This window comes from Homo sapiens, chromosome 2, assembly GCF_000001405.40.
Source record: "Homo sapiens chromosome 2, GRCh38.p14 Primary Assembly".
Classification (NCBI taxonomy): domain Eukaryota; kingdom Metazoa; phylum Chordata; class Mammalia; order Primates; family Hominidae; genus Homo; species Homo sapiens.
The window spans coordinates 216759485-216777784 of record NC_000002.12 but is presented as its reverse complement, the minus strand read 5'-3'; the positions used below and the strand labels follow the sequence as shown (position 1 = coordinate 216777784).

Below are 18300 nucleotides of genomic sequence, written 5' to 3'. Positions count from 1 at the left end.
TTGTTTACCACTATCCTCTGTCCCTTCCTGCCTTCACCCTGCCCTCACTGTTGCCTATAACTGCAATGGCCTCACCTCTAGCCTCACCAAATTCTCCCCATCGCCCAACGCTTGGCCTTTTCCCCAAAGCCTCTAAAACAATCCCAGGTAAACAACACTCTCACTCTTCTTGCAAGCTAGACTTTCATTATTTAGTAATATCATTTTCTAAATGGAAAAATCAGAATCCATGGTCTGAATTATTTTTATAATTTGTGCTTTTACTTTCAAGGAGAATTTCACACAGAAATTAAAACTTACTTCCACTTAGTGATGTACTCGACCAATAGCCTTCACTGCAAAGTATGAGATTAAAAACCTCGTAAAGTAGGCGTGGTTATTATTTTTACAGATGAGGGAACTGAGGTTTAGAAAGATTAAATAAATTAACTACAGTCATATACTTAATATTTGGTGTAACTAGGATTCAAACCTGCATCCTCTAAGACAGAACGTAATCACTGCTTAATCTAGTAATTAAATATGTACAATATTATAGTATGCTTTCCTTTTATAAATTAATTCTTTATTATAAAAAGTAATACATGCACATAATAAAAAATGTCAATAGAACTCAAGAATGCAATATAAAAGTAGGTCTGTCTCCAAATCCAGACTCTATTCCAGACTCCATCCAGTTCTTTTGTGTATTTCCAGAAATATTATGTGCACAGGTAAGCATCTCTTTGTTACACACAGAGGGCATACTATTTACAGCACTTTCTCTTTACAATATCTCTTGGAAAGCATTACATGTGGACGTGTATAGAGTTCCTATATTCTTTCTATGGCTGCATAATATTTCATGGTTGCCTGTTAATAATCTTGGAGTAGCCAGAAGCTAGAGAGAGATGGAGAGAGAGAGAGAAGGAGGGAGCTGGATGGAAAACTACAGTAAAATGAGAAGGGATGAGGGGAGGCCAGTAGGCCTGGAGGAGGAAACACCTGATTTCCAGGCACACCGCAAAGAGAAAGCAAGCCTGGCTGGGAACAGAAGTGAAAACAGAGGAGGCTCTGAATACATTGTATAAAAGTGGGCCCCAGAGGTGGGGGAAAGGAGTTATTGAGCTCCACGGGGTGAACATTTGCCTCTAACCTGTTTCCTGATGACTTCATCATCCCTCCTGAGGACCTCCCCACTTTTGCCAACCCCACCATTTTTTAAAAAGTGCCCCACCCAAAAGAAAACAAACACGTTACTATTTATTCATGCAAGAAGGCCCAGGAGACACAATAGACAGCAGCACCAGCCTAATTAAATGAAACGGGGTAGGTGTAACTCAAACCACCTTGGGAAAATATAATCTGCCACCAAAACAAAATTCCCACCGTTCAGACCACAGGGAAATCAGACCAGCCTCCTCGCCAGGTTCTCAAGCAAAGGCTGACTCCGCAGGCAGCAAGATAAGAGAAGGTCGGCTTCTCGCCAGTAGCCTTCCTCCCTCCGCTGTCAACTCTGTGCACCCCCACGGCCCCCCACCTCTCTGAGCTTGTTCACCGACATATCAGAGCTGCTCCCTTTGTGGGCTGGATTGTTTAGCTAATTTGCCCATGGAAAACAGTTCAGGTTCAGATTCCAGGCCAAGGCAACCAGACACCAATTGCAAATCCAAGCTTGGGGATTGTATCTCTTTCACCACTTTGAGACACGTAAACTGCATCTCTCCTCCCCCACATAGCTTTTCTCTCCACCTAGGGAAACCTCAGGGATGCTCCAAGTTGGACCCTCCAAAGCTAAGACATGGGAGGGGTACTGGAGAATCTCTGAACTGGCCTTCTCTAAATTTAGATGTGGACTCTGAGAGTCAGAAGGTGAGCTTGACCTAAGGATGTGCTCCTGGGCACCTTTGTCTGAAGAGTTCTGGGGCCAGATGAAAAATCTGACTATGTCTCTAGATTTCCCTCATCAACTGCAAGTGGGCTCTGGAATTAGACCTGCCTGGTCAGGTCTCAACTGTACCACTCCAATTGTAACTAGGTGAGTTTGGGTACAAGCTTAATCTCTTTTTGCTTGATCTCCTAATCTGTAAAATGGAAAGAACAGTTTGTCTCTTCCTTCCCCGACAGGATTATTGTAAAAATTAAATGAGGCTACCCACGTAAAGTTCTTGGCACACGGAAGGTGCCGCAGAAGTATGAGTTAGTTTCTTCCTCCTGAGAAAGTCTATACCCACCCACTCCAACCTCATTCCAGTCCTCCTTTCATGGGTCCAGTGTAAAAATGAGGGGCTTCAGACTGGGCGCAATCGCTCACACCTGGAATCCCAGCTACTCAGAGCCTGAGTTGGGAGGATTACTTGAGCTCAAGAGTTCAAGGCTGCAGTGAGCTGTGATCGCACCACTGCCCTGTAGCCTGGGCAACAGACTGAGAGTGATTGATGCGTACCAGGCATGTGTCCCAACTGTTCAAACCTGTGTCCACCCCCAGCCAGGCCAGCTGTCTGAAACACCATTCATGAGTCATTCTTCCAGGCCACAAGGGCTTTAGGGATCTGTGAGCTGCAATGGCTGTAAGTGTTAGTCACTCTCAATTACAGAAGGGGGTGATCGTGCTGATAATCTGAAAACGTAGCTCCCCCTTGCTATAGGGTTTCTAAAGCTCCAGGAACTCAGTCCATCCTCAAGAGCAAAGCTGCACTGTGACCCTAATTCCATCCTCAGCAAGGCCAGAGAAGAGCCAGGGCCTGAGCACCGGGGGGCAGGGCTCTTCCCTAACCCCTCACTCAAACCTCCCTCTCTTCTCCAGGTAGAGCCAGTCCCAGTCCCTTGACCTGGCCACCGAGCTCTAGTTTCCAGCCATTTCATCACCTCTGGGTCCCTTCTCTGAATCCTCTCCAGGTTCCCCTTGTCCCTCTCAAGCTGCCCATCCATCAACACCCGTTCCTAAGCTCCTGCCCTATTCAGATGACTGTACTCAGAGCTGGCCCTGGGGCTGCGGTCAGAGTCTGGCCAGGGTAGACAGAGTATCCTGGGGAGATGACCTCATAAGCCCTCCCTCATGGAGTATTTTTAGGCATCACTTTCCTCCCCCTCCCACTCAGCTTCCATGCACTTCCAGTGCAGTCCAGAACTCTCCGGAATCTCTAGGGTTGCTGCGACTCTTGTTGTTTTCCCAGTGTTTAAGGGGTGGAAACTGTAACTGCCCCTCCAAACACTCAACTCGTCATCCTTTGAATGATTCTTTTTCATTTCTACTCTGCTTCTTTTCGGAAAATAAAGATAGACTCTTGTCAAATATTGAGGGACTCCAACCATCACCCCCGAGGCAGGCAATTCCAGCTCCGTGGCTGCATTCCCTCCTCTGTGTGGCTATGATGTGGTTTCCTTTGTTGCCAATCTAGTTACATGTCACATAGACTAAAATCCTGTGAGTCTGCCTCCTCCCCAATGTGGGGAGAGTCCCAGATCCTCTCCAAGAATTCCAAGAGTGGCATCCAGAGATCTCAGAGTCCAAGAAGCAACAGCGTGTGACCACGAGAACCTGAGGCTGGATCTCAAGGTATCAAGGTCTCTGTTTAGTCTCACCTTCATCTTGCCCGTCTTTCTGGAGAAGTTGTTTTAATGTTCTAGTTTCTCTGTATGGTCTTTGATTATTTATTTTTTTTCTTTTTGGCCACCAATGAACTTGGCCACCAATGCATCCACAAGTATCCACATACCTCTCAGGACCTTGAGATAGAAGAGATTCTGATGCTACCAGGCACAGAGACCCAACTCCTTCTCACCTTCATGCTCTGCCCCATCATTGCCAAGCACCTAATCTAAAGTGGGCCCTGGAAAACCAGCTCCAGGCCATATCTGGCCATGGCTACCAGTCACTCACTGGATGCTAAAAAATGAGGAAAACCTTCCCAGCCTGGGACAAGGGGAGAGGGAGGCTTAAAGGCTCAATCAGGAGGCTTGGAGGGTCCTGTCCCATCTCCATCTCACCCAACTTCAATGAACCCAGAAAGTATGGAGAGAAAGTATCTCAATCCACGCCAGATGGAGAACAGTGCTGGCAAACAGCTGGCCTCAACAAATAGTTGTTGCTTTTTTTTGCATGATAAATGCTGCTGACAGCCAGAATGGCTGGAGAGAAAGGAGGCAGAGTTTCTCCTGGGCCCTGTATATTCAGGTAGGATTTGAATCGAAGGCAATCTAGGGTCAGCTCCAGCTGAGTTTGGGGCTTCGTACTGAACACAGTTCAGTCTCAAATCTCTTTGTGTGTCTCACCAATGAGGTTCTCCTTGCCCAGAATAGCCTCTGCTCACCCCACCCCTGCCCCCTGCCCTCACCACCTGACATGCTCCAGATCAAAGGCTTCCCTTCATGAGCAGTCCCCAATGCCCAAATCCAAAAGCCTCTCTCCCATCTCGGAGGGCCCTCTCCAAGCACTTTGCTCAGAGCTCTGAAAGTATCCTTATCTCCTACCACCACAGAGCAGGCAGGCGCCCGTGGTGGCATCCCATTTGGGCAGCCGTTGGGAACATAGCTGCCTCTTGCAGCATTTGCAAAGTCAGAGGCACACTGGCAGGGAGCCAAGACAGGCGGCTAGAAGCGAATGGCTTTCAGGGGAGATGGTCAAGAGAACTAATTTGTGTCGCATACATGAGGCATTCTAAAGAGGTTCCCAAGCCTATCAGCGAGAAACTAGATGGAAGACTGGATAGAGTTCCCAAAGATACACCAGCCAGCACACAGAAATCATGGTCAGGGGCTTTCTGTGGCCCAGGTTTTCCCCGGTAATATATAACCCAGGAAGGTTGGATTACATGGAATGGTGGGAGGCTCCTCCAGGATTATGGGCTGCCTCTGTCATCCTCAGATTATCTGAATTTCATCACCCGCAACAGGGATGGGGGGTGGAGCACAGCCCAGAAGCAGGAGCCCCTCAGCTGCAAGTCTATAGAATATTGAAATCAAAAAGCAAATGAAGACAAACACCATAGAGGCTGAGCTGCTGGGCTCCAGAGCTGAACTGCCTGTTTGACATCCCCCTCTACTGCTCACCTCTCTGCTGGGACCTCACTATGCCTCAGTCTCCTCTTTCATAAAGTGGGGATAATATTATCTACCTTATAATTTTGTTGCATGGATTAAACAGGTTTATATATGTAGAATGCTATATGTTTGCTACGTCATTGTTGCTGTTGTTCAGATAAATTGCCAAAAATGAAGAAGTCACAGGTAGAGGTTGAATGTGGAGTTCAGTGTGGAGATCAAAGAAAGAAGTGCCAGGGGAAGGAAAAAGAAAAGTTGTGTGTGTGTGTGTGTGTGTGTGTGCGTGTGTGTGTGTGTTTGATATAGGGTCTCACTGTGTTGTCCAGGCTAGAGTGCAGTGGTGTGATCAAGGCTCACTGCAGTCTCAACCCAGGAGGTCTCAACCTCCTGGGCTGAAGTGATCCTCCCACCTCAGCCTCCCGAATAGCTGTGAGTACAGGCACATGCCACCATGCCTGGCTAATTTTTTAATTTTTATAGAGACAGGAGTCTCACTATGTTGCCCAGGTTGGTTTCAAATTCCTGGGCTCAAACCAAAGTGCTAGGATTACAGATGTGAGCCTCCACACCCAACCAAGAAAAGTGGCTTGAGAGATGTGGGGAAATACCCAAGACATATTGTTAAATGAAAAACAGCAAGGTAACAGTACACATTTTATGATACCACTTTAGAAAAATAAATAAAAAACAAGGATTTACATAGAATACTTCTCATGCAAAGAGTATTTGTGGACGCATACCCTACAAACTGGAAAGAGGAACTGGGGAGATAAGGATGAGCAGGAAAAGAGAAAGTTGCTTGTCACTATAAGCTTTGCTATGTTGTATAAAATTTTGGCCAGTCTCAGTGGCTCACGCCTGTAATCCCAGCACTTTGGGAGGCTGAAGTGGGAGGATCCCTTGAGCTCAGGAGTTTGAGACCAGCCTGACCAACATAGCGAAACCCTGTCTCTACAAAAAATATAAAAATTAGCCAGCGTCTGGGCATGGTGGCTCACACCTGTAATCCCAGCACTTTGGGAGGCTGAGGCAGGCAGATCACTTGAGGTCAGGAGTTCAAGACCAGCCTGGCCAACACGTTGAAACCATCTGTACTAAAAATACAAAAGTTAGCCAGGTGTGGTGGCACACACCTGTAGTCCCAGCTACTTGGGAGGCTGAGGCCACAGAAACGGTTGAACCTGGGAGGCAAAGCATGCAGTGAACCGAGGTCACCCCCACTACACTTCAGCCTGGGAGACAAAGCAAGACAGACAGGAAGGAAGGAAGGAAAGAAGGAAGGAAGGAAAGAAGGAAGGAAACAAGGAAGGAAGTAAGGGAAGTGGTTTTTAACCTGTGTTTTGTGGTGTTTGCTCATCATGACCCTGTCACATATGTGCTTCCAAAGTTGCAAAGCATAACGTTATGTTATGCCTGGCCAGGCATTGTGGTGCACTCCTATAATCCTAGCTATTTGGGAGGCTGAGGTTGGGGGATCGCTTGAGCCTGGGAGGTTGAGGCTGCAGTGAGCCATGATCATACCACTGCACTCCAGCCTGGGCAACAGAGTGAGACTCTGTCTTTAAAAAAAAAAAAAAAAAGTCACAGATATATGTTTTTATGTAAAATAAACTAATAGGCAGGTAGATGAATGACCAGGTGGATGAAAGGATGGGTGGGGCGGGTGGATAGATGGATGAACAGATGGATGGATACATGGATAGGTTGGTGGATAGGTAGGTGGACGAGTGGATAGATGGGTGCATGGAAAAACTGATGGATTAATGAATGGCAAAAATGAGGAACAATGTAAGGCAATTGCTGAAACCCATGATTGTGGTTGGCTTTAGTGTGCCAGCCACCATATAGTGAGAGGGTGAGTCAACCTTGTTTTCAATGCCAGGAATGAGCAGATACCACTTTCTTTCTGCTTAGTAAATAAAAAATAGGAACCACCAAAAGTTTACATTTGAATTTGTTAAAAACTATATACTCAATCAGGCCAACTCCTTCCTCACCCTCACATGTCAGACCACTTATAAAGAGGGAAAGGACAGGGTGGGGGGACCTGTTCACCTCCAAAGAGATGAGAAGCAGCACCAGGGGGTGGAATAGAAACAAGGCAGCAATGAGCAGGCCAGGAGCAGAAACAATGTGCTTGTAAATTGTTTCCCAACTGTGAGCTCCCTCAAGGCTCAACCTTAGCTCATTCTACCATTGTGACAGACACTGCAAGTGGCCCCAGTGAAGCAACTTCCATGGGGATTTCGTTTTAAAGTCAGTGTCTAAGGGAAAAGTCTTATGTGGTCAAGCTTTGAATTCCCTCCATTGCAGAGTACACAACACTTCTCAATAGATCCGGCAAGGTCTGCTTTAATTCCGACCTTGTAGAAAGAGATCAGTTTCTTCAATTGTGCAGCCGGTGAAGTAGTTGAACTGTGTTTAGGGGCCATGTTGTAAACACCATAGTCATCCCCCACCTAATGAGCTGCTCACACTGGGGGAGGTACTTGAGGATAGAGAGGCTGGGAGGTGATGGCAGATTGACAGCACCTATCTCAGGCTCACATCATCACACACACCCTTTCAACTTGTTCATTCTGTCCTCTGTCTCTTTGAATTACATACATTTGAATTCACATTATTAAATGTGACTCCATTTCCATGGATGCTCACTTTATAATGACTGAAATAAAGCATCTAACATAAAGAGGTTGGCCACCCAGAACCATCACCCCCTAAGAAATTAAAAAAAGCCAAGGCAAAAAAAGGAGGTATTAACACTTGTGCTGTACCTGGAATTCTACCATTGGAGGCCATTTGGAGCTAGAGGATCATGATAAGCTGCACCAGGGTAGAGGGAACTCATGAGACATTGTCTTCATATCACTAGCTTTAAGGAGTAGCTGTCTCACTGAAGTGCTGGAGAGGTGGGCAAGTGCCAACACCATGCTTTAATGCATAGTGCAACAAACAGAAGTGCCAGGAAGAGGCAGAGACTGTCTTTTGAAAGGACAGCCCAGGGAAGTGGCATTTTGTTCAACCCAGCTTGGCTTCTTAAGAGCACCCACTTCCAGGATACACCCTGGGTACCATTGAAAAGCCATTTCTAGACTAGTAAGAAAACTGGAAGCTGACCCTTTACCCTCTCAGCTATCCTGGTCACAGGTTCTCCACTTTGTCTCAGGTCCCATATTTGCCCATCCTCTGTCTTTAATGCACATGTGGTTAAATTATACCAGACCTCTGTTCCGCCTTTCTTCCAGGCAAGAGCACCTCCCTTAATGCTCTGTAGGGATCCCTATACTCCCCGAGCCCTTCAACCCGATTCTCCTCCCCTCCCACGAAAACACATCTAGCTGGTCCTCAACACTGAATAGGAGTTTACTAAATGGAGAAGAGACATGGCTTTCCAGATAAGGGGTGGGGGGCTTGGAGAGGGGCCAAGGTATAAAATGTCATGGGTGTTTGGGGGAGAGGGAACTAGTGTGGTTGGTATACAGGGTGGAGGGTAGGGACTGCAAGGAGATATAACTAGAGAGATAAAGTTATCTAAAGAGAAAATGTGACAGCCCTGTTCATTGGATTTACTCGAATAAGCTACCCATTCCTCTTCTAATCTCTCCCCACTCTAACTCTGCTTATATTTCTCTGCCAAATAAAGCTTTGAAGTTTCCTAAAACACTGCTTCCATCAAATTACCCAAGAAACTTCAGCGTCCCCTGCTTGTGAGGAGTCAAGTCCAGGGTCCTGTTTGGGACTTCAGGGCCTTCCTATCAGTTCCAGCTCACCTGCTTATCATTCTGCAGAAATCCTCCAGTGCACGCTCTCCTCCAGCCAGGGAGACAGTCTCATTGCCCCCATGCAGGCCAAGGCCACCCCTGCCTCTGAGCCTCTGCTAATTAACTCTCCCATCAAGCCTGGAAGGACCTTAAGGGCCTTCTCCACAATCAACCCTACCTCTTCTTCATGGCCCAGCAGGAATTCCACCTCCTCTGGGAAGCCAGGCTTGACAAATCCAGTGTTCTTCTCTAACCACCACTGCAATGAGTTTAGCACTTACCTTTTTTCTTTCTGTAACAACTTTATTAAAATGTAATTCACATGTGATTCGTCCATTTAAGAAATATACATTGAAATATACATTTCAATGGTTTTGGGTATATTCAACACTGTGCAACCAGCACCACAATATGTTTTAAAACATTTTGCTACCCAAAAAGAAACCCCAAGCCAGTTCCCCCCACCCACTCCTCCATTCCTTCCCACCCTCCAGCCCCAGCCAACCACTAGTCAATTTCTTCTTCTTCTTTTTTTTTTTTCAGATGGAGTCTCACTTTGTCACCCAGGCTGGAGTGCAGTGGCACGATCTCAGCTCACTGCAACCTCTGCCTCCCAGGTTCAAACGATTCTCCGGCCTTGGCCTCCCAGTCAATTTCTGTCTCTACATATTTGCCTGTTTTCTGCCTGGCTGCTTTCACTTGGCATAATGTTTTCAAGGTTCAGCCATGTGGTAGCATGTATCAGTACTTTATTCATTTTTATTGCCAAATAATAGTCCATTGTATAGTTATATCACATTTTGCTTATCTATTCATCAGTTGATAGACATTTGGGTTGTTTCCATTTTTTGTCTCTCAGGAATAATGCTGCTATAAACTTTAGTGCATTATTGTGTGGACATATGTTTTCAGCTCTCTTGGGTTTATATACCTAGAAGTGGAAATGCTGGGTCTTACGGTAAGTCTATATTTAACCTTTTGAGGAGCTACCACACCATTTTCCACAGAGGCTACACCATTTCACATTCCCACCAGCAATGCATGAGGGATCCAGTTTCTCTACATCCTCACCAATATTTATTGTTATTATTATAATCATTAGCAACAGTTAAATGCAATAGGTTTTCTTGAAATTAAATGAACTCTACATGGTAAACACCAGTTATCTTACACATTAATGGCTAGTTATGTTTTTGATATTGGAGATTTGAAATGTAGAATACTGTCTGTAAAGATTTTAATTGTAAATATTTCACAATATGAAATTCATGTGATAATAAAAGAAATCATAAGATCTTCAGTAGTGGAGGGAAAAACTAGAGAAGCTATCATTTAATCCAAACTCATAACTTTTCAGAGCAAACTCTTAACTTTAATCCAACCTCTTAATTTTAATCAGAGTCACCAGAAGACTTGTAAGCTAAGGATCCCACAACCCTTATTCAATTTCCTGCTAAGGTAGAGTGATTAGAATAGGCGTTAGATCTGATACACCTTCAGGGTATAAGAATACTTCCCTGGATGGATTATGAATCTGGTCAAATGTGGAAATTCCCGAGTATTTTTTATCTTTTAAATTTGATTTGATGTTAAGCAAAACAACCAGGTAAAATATTACAGGTCTGCCCTGACCCACCACTGTCAAAGTCAGAAGGCATTTACTAATGATCATGTACTGACACTGCGCTGGGTTCTGTGCAGAGGGAATGCCCGACTCCCTGATCCCTGGAACTGACAAGCTCAGGCAAGGCTGGCTGAGCTACTTCTAGGCAGCCAGGAAGAATGGGAATGAAGGAGAGAAGAGGAGGCAAAGGAGGTAGACACAAGACACAGAGTGGAGACACAGTATGGTGAGTACCTGATAAGGATCAAGCTGGGCTGCATGGAGGTGAGGACAATTCATGAACTGTAATGGAAGAGTTAGCAACTTATGAATTAGAGTCTTGTTTACCCTTCTCCTTTAATGCTAATCATTTGTTGGTTTAAGTGCAGCTTGCATCTAGACCAACTATGTTCCATGCTGGAGCTCATGTTGAGCTCATGGATTTCTCCCTGGGGAGAAATCCATCAAATCCTAAAACCACATTATTTTTCTTAGGCACTAATAGTGGTCTGATAAGTCTGAACCTTTTGAAAGCATTAGCTTTCTAAATGGTCGCTTAAACAAAAGAACATCGCCACACCTCCCACCCTGGATTTGCAAATTGTTCTTCTCTGATATAGACCATATCACTGATCTCCAGGGTTATATAGGCAAGCCCAAGGTGAATTAATTGAAAGAAACAGAGCTTGGTGTACAAAGACAAGGTGACCTGGAGCCTTCCTGTAGGAGGTGTGGTTTAACAGGAGCAAATCGCAAGTCCCAAGCCCTGCCTTATTTGTGAATGTAACTGTGGACTCAAGAAGTATAGGTATTCTTCTAGAAGAGGGACTTTCTAGTGTCTTATGATATTGGATGGAGGAGGGCTTGATAATTCTTTTTCCTCATCCCTTTACCATTCTCTTCATCTACATATTTTCTAGATCAATACCTCATTTGGGAGTGGGAAGGGGGGTGTCATGGTTCTTCCTGAAGCTTCTCATACCCAGTTCTCCATCCTCCATCATCCCCAAAGCTTCTCTAGGTGAAAGCCCCGGAGCTCAAAAACCAGGAAGTGCATGAAGTAAGCCAGCCCCTGAAGTAGGAAAGGCTGTTGTGAGCCCAGAGGACACCTGCTCCCCACCCCCAAAGCCCAGGCCCCGCTTCTCCCCAGGGCTGGGCCCCCAGCCTCACTCCTGCCACCCGCCTTGGGGAGCTAAAACAAACAGTCCTTTGGAAATGCAGTGAAAAGAAACGGCTGAGTCAGGCCTTCTGTTTAAACAGTCCCCACCTGTTCCCTCGGCACTCGCCTCCCCCCACTGCCCACCCTGTGCTTCCCCCACTTCCCTTTCTTTTTTCTTTTCTTTTTCCCTTTGTTGCTCATTTTCAAAAGGGCAGAGTTGACAGCTCTCGCCTTGAGCAAAGCCAACCCCAGAGCCAGCCAGGAGTGGCCTCGGGCTGTGACCCAGCGCCTTCCTGCCCCTCCCGCCTGGCTCCCCGGCCTCCCACCCTCAGCCTGCAGTGGCTGTGTCTGGTCAACAGGGAGTGAGAGAGAAGGGAGGAGGGACTTAGTTACCAAGAAAGAGAATCCCACCCAGAAAGGAGAGAGGACCGGAGAGGACATGAGAAGGGACAAAGGGAGACAGATAAGGTTCAGCCTCACGGAGGGATGTGCCTTCTCATTGGCTGGAACCCTCAATCACCCCATACACTTGTTGCTATGTGTAAAAATAATTTCTTGGCATTGGAGGAAATGAATTAGTTGCCCATATTAAAAATTAAGGAAAAGAAATGTTTCCAAAGTGACACAGGTTAAGTTAGAGACATTCCCCCGACCAGCTAACAGCTCCTTTCCAAACAGGTGAAGCCTTTTAGAACTCCCCTGTAGGAAGAGTAACAATCTCTCCAAGTCCACTGCTGGCTCTCTGAAATCAAAAGCCTTTTTTTAAAATTGCATTTTCTATTTTGAGAAAATTGTAGATTCATATGCAGTTGTAAGGAATAATGCAGAGATCTCCTGTACTCTCTACCCAGTTACCCCAATAGCAACATCCTGCAAAACTTTTGTACAATAGCAAACTAGGATGTAGATTTTTATAGTCAAGATACAGAACATTTCCAAGACCAGAATCCCTCATGTTGCCCTTACGTAGCCATACCCACTTCCTACCTATGCTAACCCCTACCCTTAACCCCCGGCAAATGCTAATCTCTTCTCCGTTTCTATGTTTCTATTTTGAGAATGTTCTATAACTTCAATCATACACTATGTGACTTTTTCAGATTGCCTTTTTTCATTCAGCATAATTCTCTAGAGACTGGACCAAGTAGTTGTGTGTATCAATAGTTCATTTTTGTGGCTAAGTAATATTCTATGGTATGGCTTGACCACAGTTTGTTTAATGCACTCACCTGTTGAAGGACACTTGGATTGTTTCCAGGTTTGGCTATTACAAATAAACGTCCATTCATTTTCATGTCAAGATAAGTCTTCATTTCTCTGGCATAAATGTTCAAGAATCACTTGCTGGTTCCTACGAAAATTGCAGGTTTAGTAGAACACCTTTTAAAATTATTCTTTAAAATTACTCCATACATATGTCTAGAGGTGTTCCAGGCTGGGAGGTGAACAGAAGAGGAAGCTGGAAGTAGAAGGAGGGGGTCTTGGGGACCTTGATTCTTGGAGCTGACTTGCTACCAGTATACCCCCTGTGCCTGTACCCCACGGTGAAGGTGATCCAGCAGCAAACCAATTGTGGTGGGTAGAAGAATGACCTCCCGCCTAAAGATGGCTATGCCCTCATCCCCAGAACCTGTGAATATGTTAAGTTACATGGCAAAGACAAATGAAGGCTGCAGATGGAATTGGGGTTGCTAATCAGATGACCTTGAGATGGAAGATTATCCTGTGTGGTCCAGGTGGCCCCAATGTCATTACAGAAGCCTTAAAAGTAGAAAGAGGCAGAAGAGGAGAGTCAGAGAAAGAGCGATGTGACTATGGAAGAACACCCCAAACACACGACGTGGCTCGTTTCAAAGATGGAGAGGAAAGGGGGGACGCGAGCAAAGGAATGTGAGCAGCTTCTAGAAGCTGGAACAAAGAAAAAAAGCAGGTTCTCCCCTAGAGCCTTCAGAAAGGAACACAGTCCTGATTTAGCCCAGTGATACCTGGGTCAGACCTCTGACCTCCAGAAGTGTCAGATAATAACATTCCTGTTGCTCCAAGCCACCAGCTTCATGGTTAGGTTTTATCTTGATGCTCTCACAGATAAGCTCTCAAGGCAGTGATCCTCACTGTGTTACAGCCGCTGATAGAAAACAAATGTACCAAGTGACCTCTATGTGGGTTTCAGCCTTCAGAGTTGACCACCGCTGCTCTGAATGAGCAGACTGCAGCTGCCTGCCATTATGAAGGAAAGACCAGAGACTTCATACATGGCACTTCTCTCAGCTCGCTTGGCTGAAGACACCCTGGTCTGTCTTTGTGTGTCTAGATACTTTCCAATACAGCCATAGGCTTCCCACCCACTGGACCTGCTGCCTGTGCTGTCTTTCCCGTGTACCCCAGCCTGTCTGGGCCTTGTCTCATCCCTTTCCAAGGTACCATCTTCAGCATCAAGGACCCTTGGAGTCTTAGTCCAGCACACCCACACACCAGCCCAGTCTTACTCATTCTAAAGGCTTAGAGTGAGAGTTAGGATTTGGAATTTTTCTATGGGGATTCAGTACTTAATTAATACAAACCCATGTAGCCTGCATCTCTTACAGCCAGAGATTGCTCTGCAAATGCAGGCAGTGGATGGTTCATTAGCATATTAATGATCTGGGTTTTTTTTCCCCCTGATAATGACCCTAGGGAGTAGTGAGCCTTGGGTGCAGATGAAGAAGATCCAGAGAAATAATGCCAAAAGGACCCTTTCATGAGGAAGCAGAAGTGAGATGATGATTCCCTCAGTGAGTAGTTCTCAAGGGAGGTGGGAATCAGAATTACCTAGGGAATTTTTTCAACACAGCACACACATATACACATTCTACTCTACCTGAATTATTATAATTCTGTGAGGATCACTGCCTTGAGAGCTTATCTGTGAGAGCATCAAGATACAACCTAACCAATAAGCAAATAATACCTATGAACCACTCCTCTCAACACTTTTCCCAGCACACACAGACACACACACACACACACACACACTTTTAATTTGATCAATTGTTTTACATCTAGTTAGGCTTTGGCCTAAAGCCAAGACTAAGAAGCTGTTCTAGGCCACAAGACCCCTCTAATTAGCAACCTCTCCCCAACCAAGTCCTCCCTCTCACCTTCATGTGGCATTCTGCACCTAGCCTACTTTCTCATTTGATACATGGGCTTGGGCAAGAGGAGCTGGAAAGGAAAATGGATAGATTGTCACTCCTCCAAAGATTTCCAGAGATACAACCAAAGAAAATATCCCACTGACAATGAGACCTCTGAAACAGCAAGAATACCTCACTCACTTATTTAACAAATATTTGTTCTGCAAAAACACAAGAGGTATCACCCAGGGTCAGGCCAAAAGTGTGTGTAGCCCACTGCTGCAAGCTCTCTGACCACGTGCTGGAGCAGGCCATCAACAAGGGCAGCAGCCCTCAACCAACCACCCCGACCCTCACAGGACAGCCAACAAATGAGGTGGTAGATATCCTAATTACCCTGATTTGATCATTATCTCTTACATGCATGTATCAAAATATCACATATATCCCATACATATGTACAATTATAATGTATCAATAAAAACTAAAAAAACAAATGAGGTGGTAGATATCCTGAATGTGAACAAGGATGCTCTTTATTTTTGCTGCACCTGAGTACACACACTGTTAGGGCAGTGGTGGTCCTGTGTCCTTTTGAGGTGACTGTACCACGTAACTCAGTTGAGAGCAGGTGCTCCTTGCAGTGAGTAAAGGGGCAGGGTGCCTTCCAAAGAAGGAGCACGTGCTCAGTGGAATGTTCGAGCACCACAGGTGACAATGTATGGGAGCATGGTCAGGGTCATACAGAGTTCTGCTCACCAGGAGTTCAACAACAACCTGGGCAATATAATGAGACCCCAGTCTCTAAAAAAAAAAATTTTTTTAATTAGCTGGGTGTGGTGGTGTGCACCTGTTGTCCCAGCTACTCAGGAGGCTGAGGTGGGGAGATCACTTGAGTCCAGGAAGACAAGGCTGTAGTGAGCCATGATCGTGCCACTGCACTCCAACCTGGGTGGTAGGCCAAGACCTTGTCTCATTTGAAAAAAAAGAGAGAGAAGGAGAGAGTTCTGCTCATAAGGACCATGGCACTGAAAGGAACCCAAACGAATTATGAGGTGACTGAATGCTTTCTTGGATACTAAAACACACCATTGATTGTATTGTAATAATCACTGACTCATCAATTGCTATCTTCAGTTCTTTCATCATATCAAGCGTGTTTCCAATGTAAGTACAAAATGATTGGAAACCACTGGGTTAGACACAGTCCTGAATCCCATTAATTTCACTGAAGTTTTTCTGTGACCCACCTGTACCCCCTTTGGAAGGTAATAATCTCACCAAAATGCATTCATGGCTCTATAAAATTTAAGTTCTGTTTTTGTCTTTTTTTAGTTTTTATTGATACATTATAATTGTACATATGTATGTAGGGGATATATGTGATATTTTGATACATGCATACAAGAGATAATGATCAAATCAGGGTAATTAGGATATCTACCACCTCAAACATGTATTATTTCTGTATCTTGGGTGTGTGCTCTTAAACCGTCTTCTAAAATTACCCATTTCATGCTTCTAGGGATGCTCCCTTCTTCTCACAGGGAAGGAGTTTAAAATCATATCCAGGTTCACCATATTTCAACCCTGAATGGCTTCATAAAAATGTGCTATAGGCCTCCATACTTTCAGGATGAAAAATCCTCTTTAAAAGCAGATGGAAGGTCTTCCATGAGCCAGATCTATTATTTTTAGATAATAGCCTCTCTATTGTTTTCATTTGAGACCAGGCAACTAGAATGTGTTTGCACCAAGGTTTGTATGAGGAGCAGAACAAACACTTCTGGTTTCAATATCCTTTTTGACAAAGTTCAACACCGTGCTGGCTTGCTTTCTGCTACAGCTAACAACCCTGTCTTCAGGAAACAGTCTGCAAAGGACTCTTAGTTTCTGTTTTTAGGGCTGCAAAATTCCAATAAAAGTTTAAAAAGTCTTGCTTGACCCTAAAAAGTCAGGGTGAAGAATTTCCCACCTCTCACATATGTCTAGTAAACTTAACATATTTTTTATTATAAAAGCAATATAAGTTCACTGCAGAAAGTTGAAAAATAGAGATAAAGCACAAAGAAAATAAAACTCACCCATATTCTCTCTGTTATTTGTATATAAATATTTTAACATAAACAGGATCATAGTGTATCTAACTGTATCTAACCTGCTTTTTGGACGTATTAATAAGACATGAACACTTTGACAAAAATGCTTGATCAAACTTTAGTAAGGATACTCTAAGGCCTTGAGGTCTCAAACTTGACATCCGTCTTTGTCAGGCCTGTATTGCCCAGTTGTAGCAATAATCTTGCGAAGTGGGTTTAGAACAACTCCTCCAACCCTGATATCAAGTACCTCATCCTCCCTCCTTGGTGTCTGACCACCCTGGCCTGCCTTCAGCAAGAATCCCATCAAGTCTGTTTAGCCAGAACCCCCTCCCTTATCCCTGATGTTTCCTCTTAGCAATTTTCCATCCATTGACTCCCACCCTGCACCTGGGCCATAAACGCCCCAACTGGTCCATGCTGTATTCAGAGTTGAGCCCAGTTCTCTACTGAAGTCTCTCTCCCCCTATTGCAATGGTTCCAGAATAAAATCTGTTTTTAGTGCCTTAATGACTGTATGTCGGGTGTGTCCTCTTAAATTGTTTTCTAAAATTACCCATTTCATGCTTGTAGGGATGCTCTGGTTTTCTTTAATAATTTTCTCTTGTTATTTATGTAGATCTTTTTCAACATAATTTTTCATGGCAGATGGCATTCTATCCTATGGGTGCATCATGATTTATTAAACCTATCCTTCATTGTGGGCTAGTTAGTCCATTCTTAATTTTTCACTACTTCAAGCTATCCTTTTAAAAAGTATTGCATATTGAATCCTAACTTACAGCTCCACAGAGAAAAAGGATATCAAATCTAAAGTGAATCTTCAGAATGCTAATTTTGTGACTGTGTGACAATTAGCTAATGGCCACTCATTTAGGCTGATGACTTTGACAGGAGCAAAGATAGAAACAAACCAAAACTCCTTACAGAAATTTATATGACAGCCTGAAGATGGTAGTTGCTTTGGTAGGTTTGGAAAATAAGTACATCAACCAACTAAATGATAGTTCATTGAATGTAAAAGGCATTCATTCGTTCAATCTAAAATAGTAAGATGTACCATTTAGTTTAGGTTCTATTAAGAAAGGGGCGGGAACGCTGCTAAGAATCACATGATCCTGTCATTTGTAAACAGCATCCAAGGTGTTCCAAAGACCAAAGGCCCCAGGAAGAAAGTCTTGCTAAAGAGATGCTGGGCCAGAATTGGGTCTGGGTTGGAAGGGAATCAGCAAGCAGCCAAGTCTAAGGCAGTTTCACCCTAAACCCAAGGCCTGTATTTAGAACATTTCAAATAGACACTCTGTGACTTTGATGAAAATCAAGCTGGCAGCTCCAGAGAAAATCAGCCTGGGATTGCCAAATCACATGATTATTTTATTAGATTGCATGCTATCTTGAAATGGTAAAATAGGCTGGGCGCAGTGGCTCACACCTATAATCCCAGCACTTTGGGAGGCCGAGGCAGGTGGGTCACCTGAGGTCAGGAGTTCAAGACCAGCCTGGCCAGCATGGTGAAACCCCATCTCTACTAAAAATACAAAAA

At 44.6% G+C, this 18300-nt stretch overlaps 1 long non-coding RNA gene across 2 annotated transcripts in view; it reads right to left on the bottom strand.

The window, feature by feature from the left end:
• The window catches only part of IGFBP-AS1 (IGFBP5 antisense RNA 1), a 116628-nt gene that overhangs the window by 33289 nt on the left and 65039 nt on the right, over positions 1 to 18300 (bottom strand). For both annotated transcript variants that reach the window (NR_187138.1, NR_187139.1), the window contains exon 3: positions 12775 to 12896. This is a non-coding gene — a long non-coding RNA (IGFBP5 antisense RNA 1). The remainder of the gene's footprint in view (positions 1 to 12774; positions 12897 to 18300) is intronic.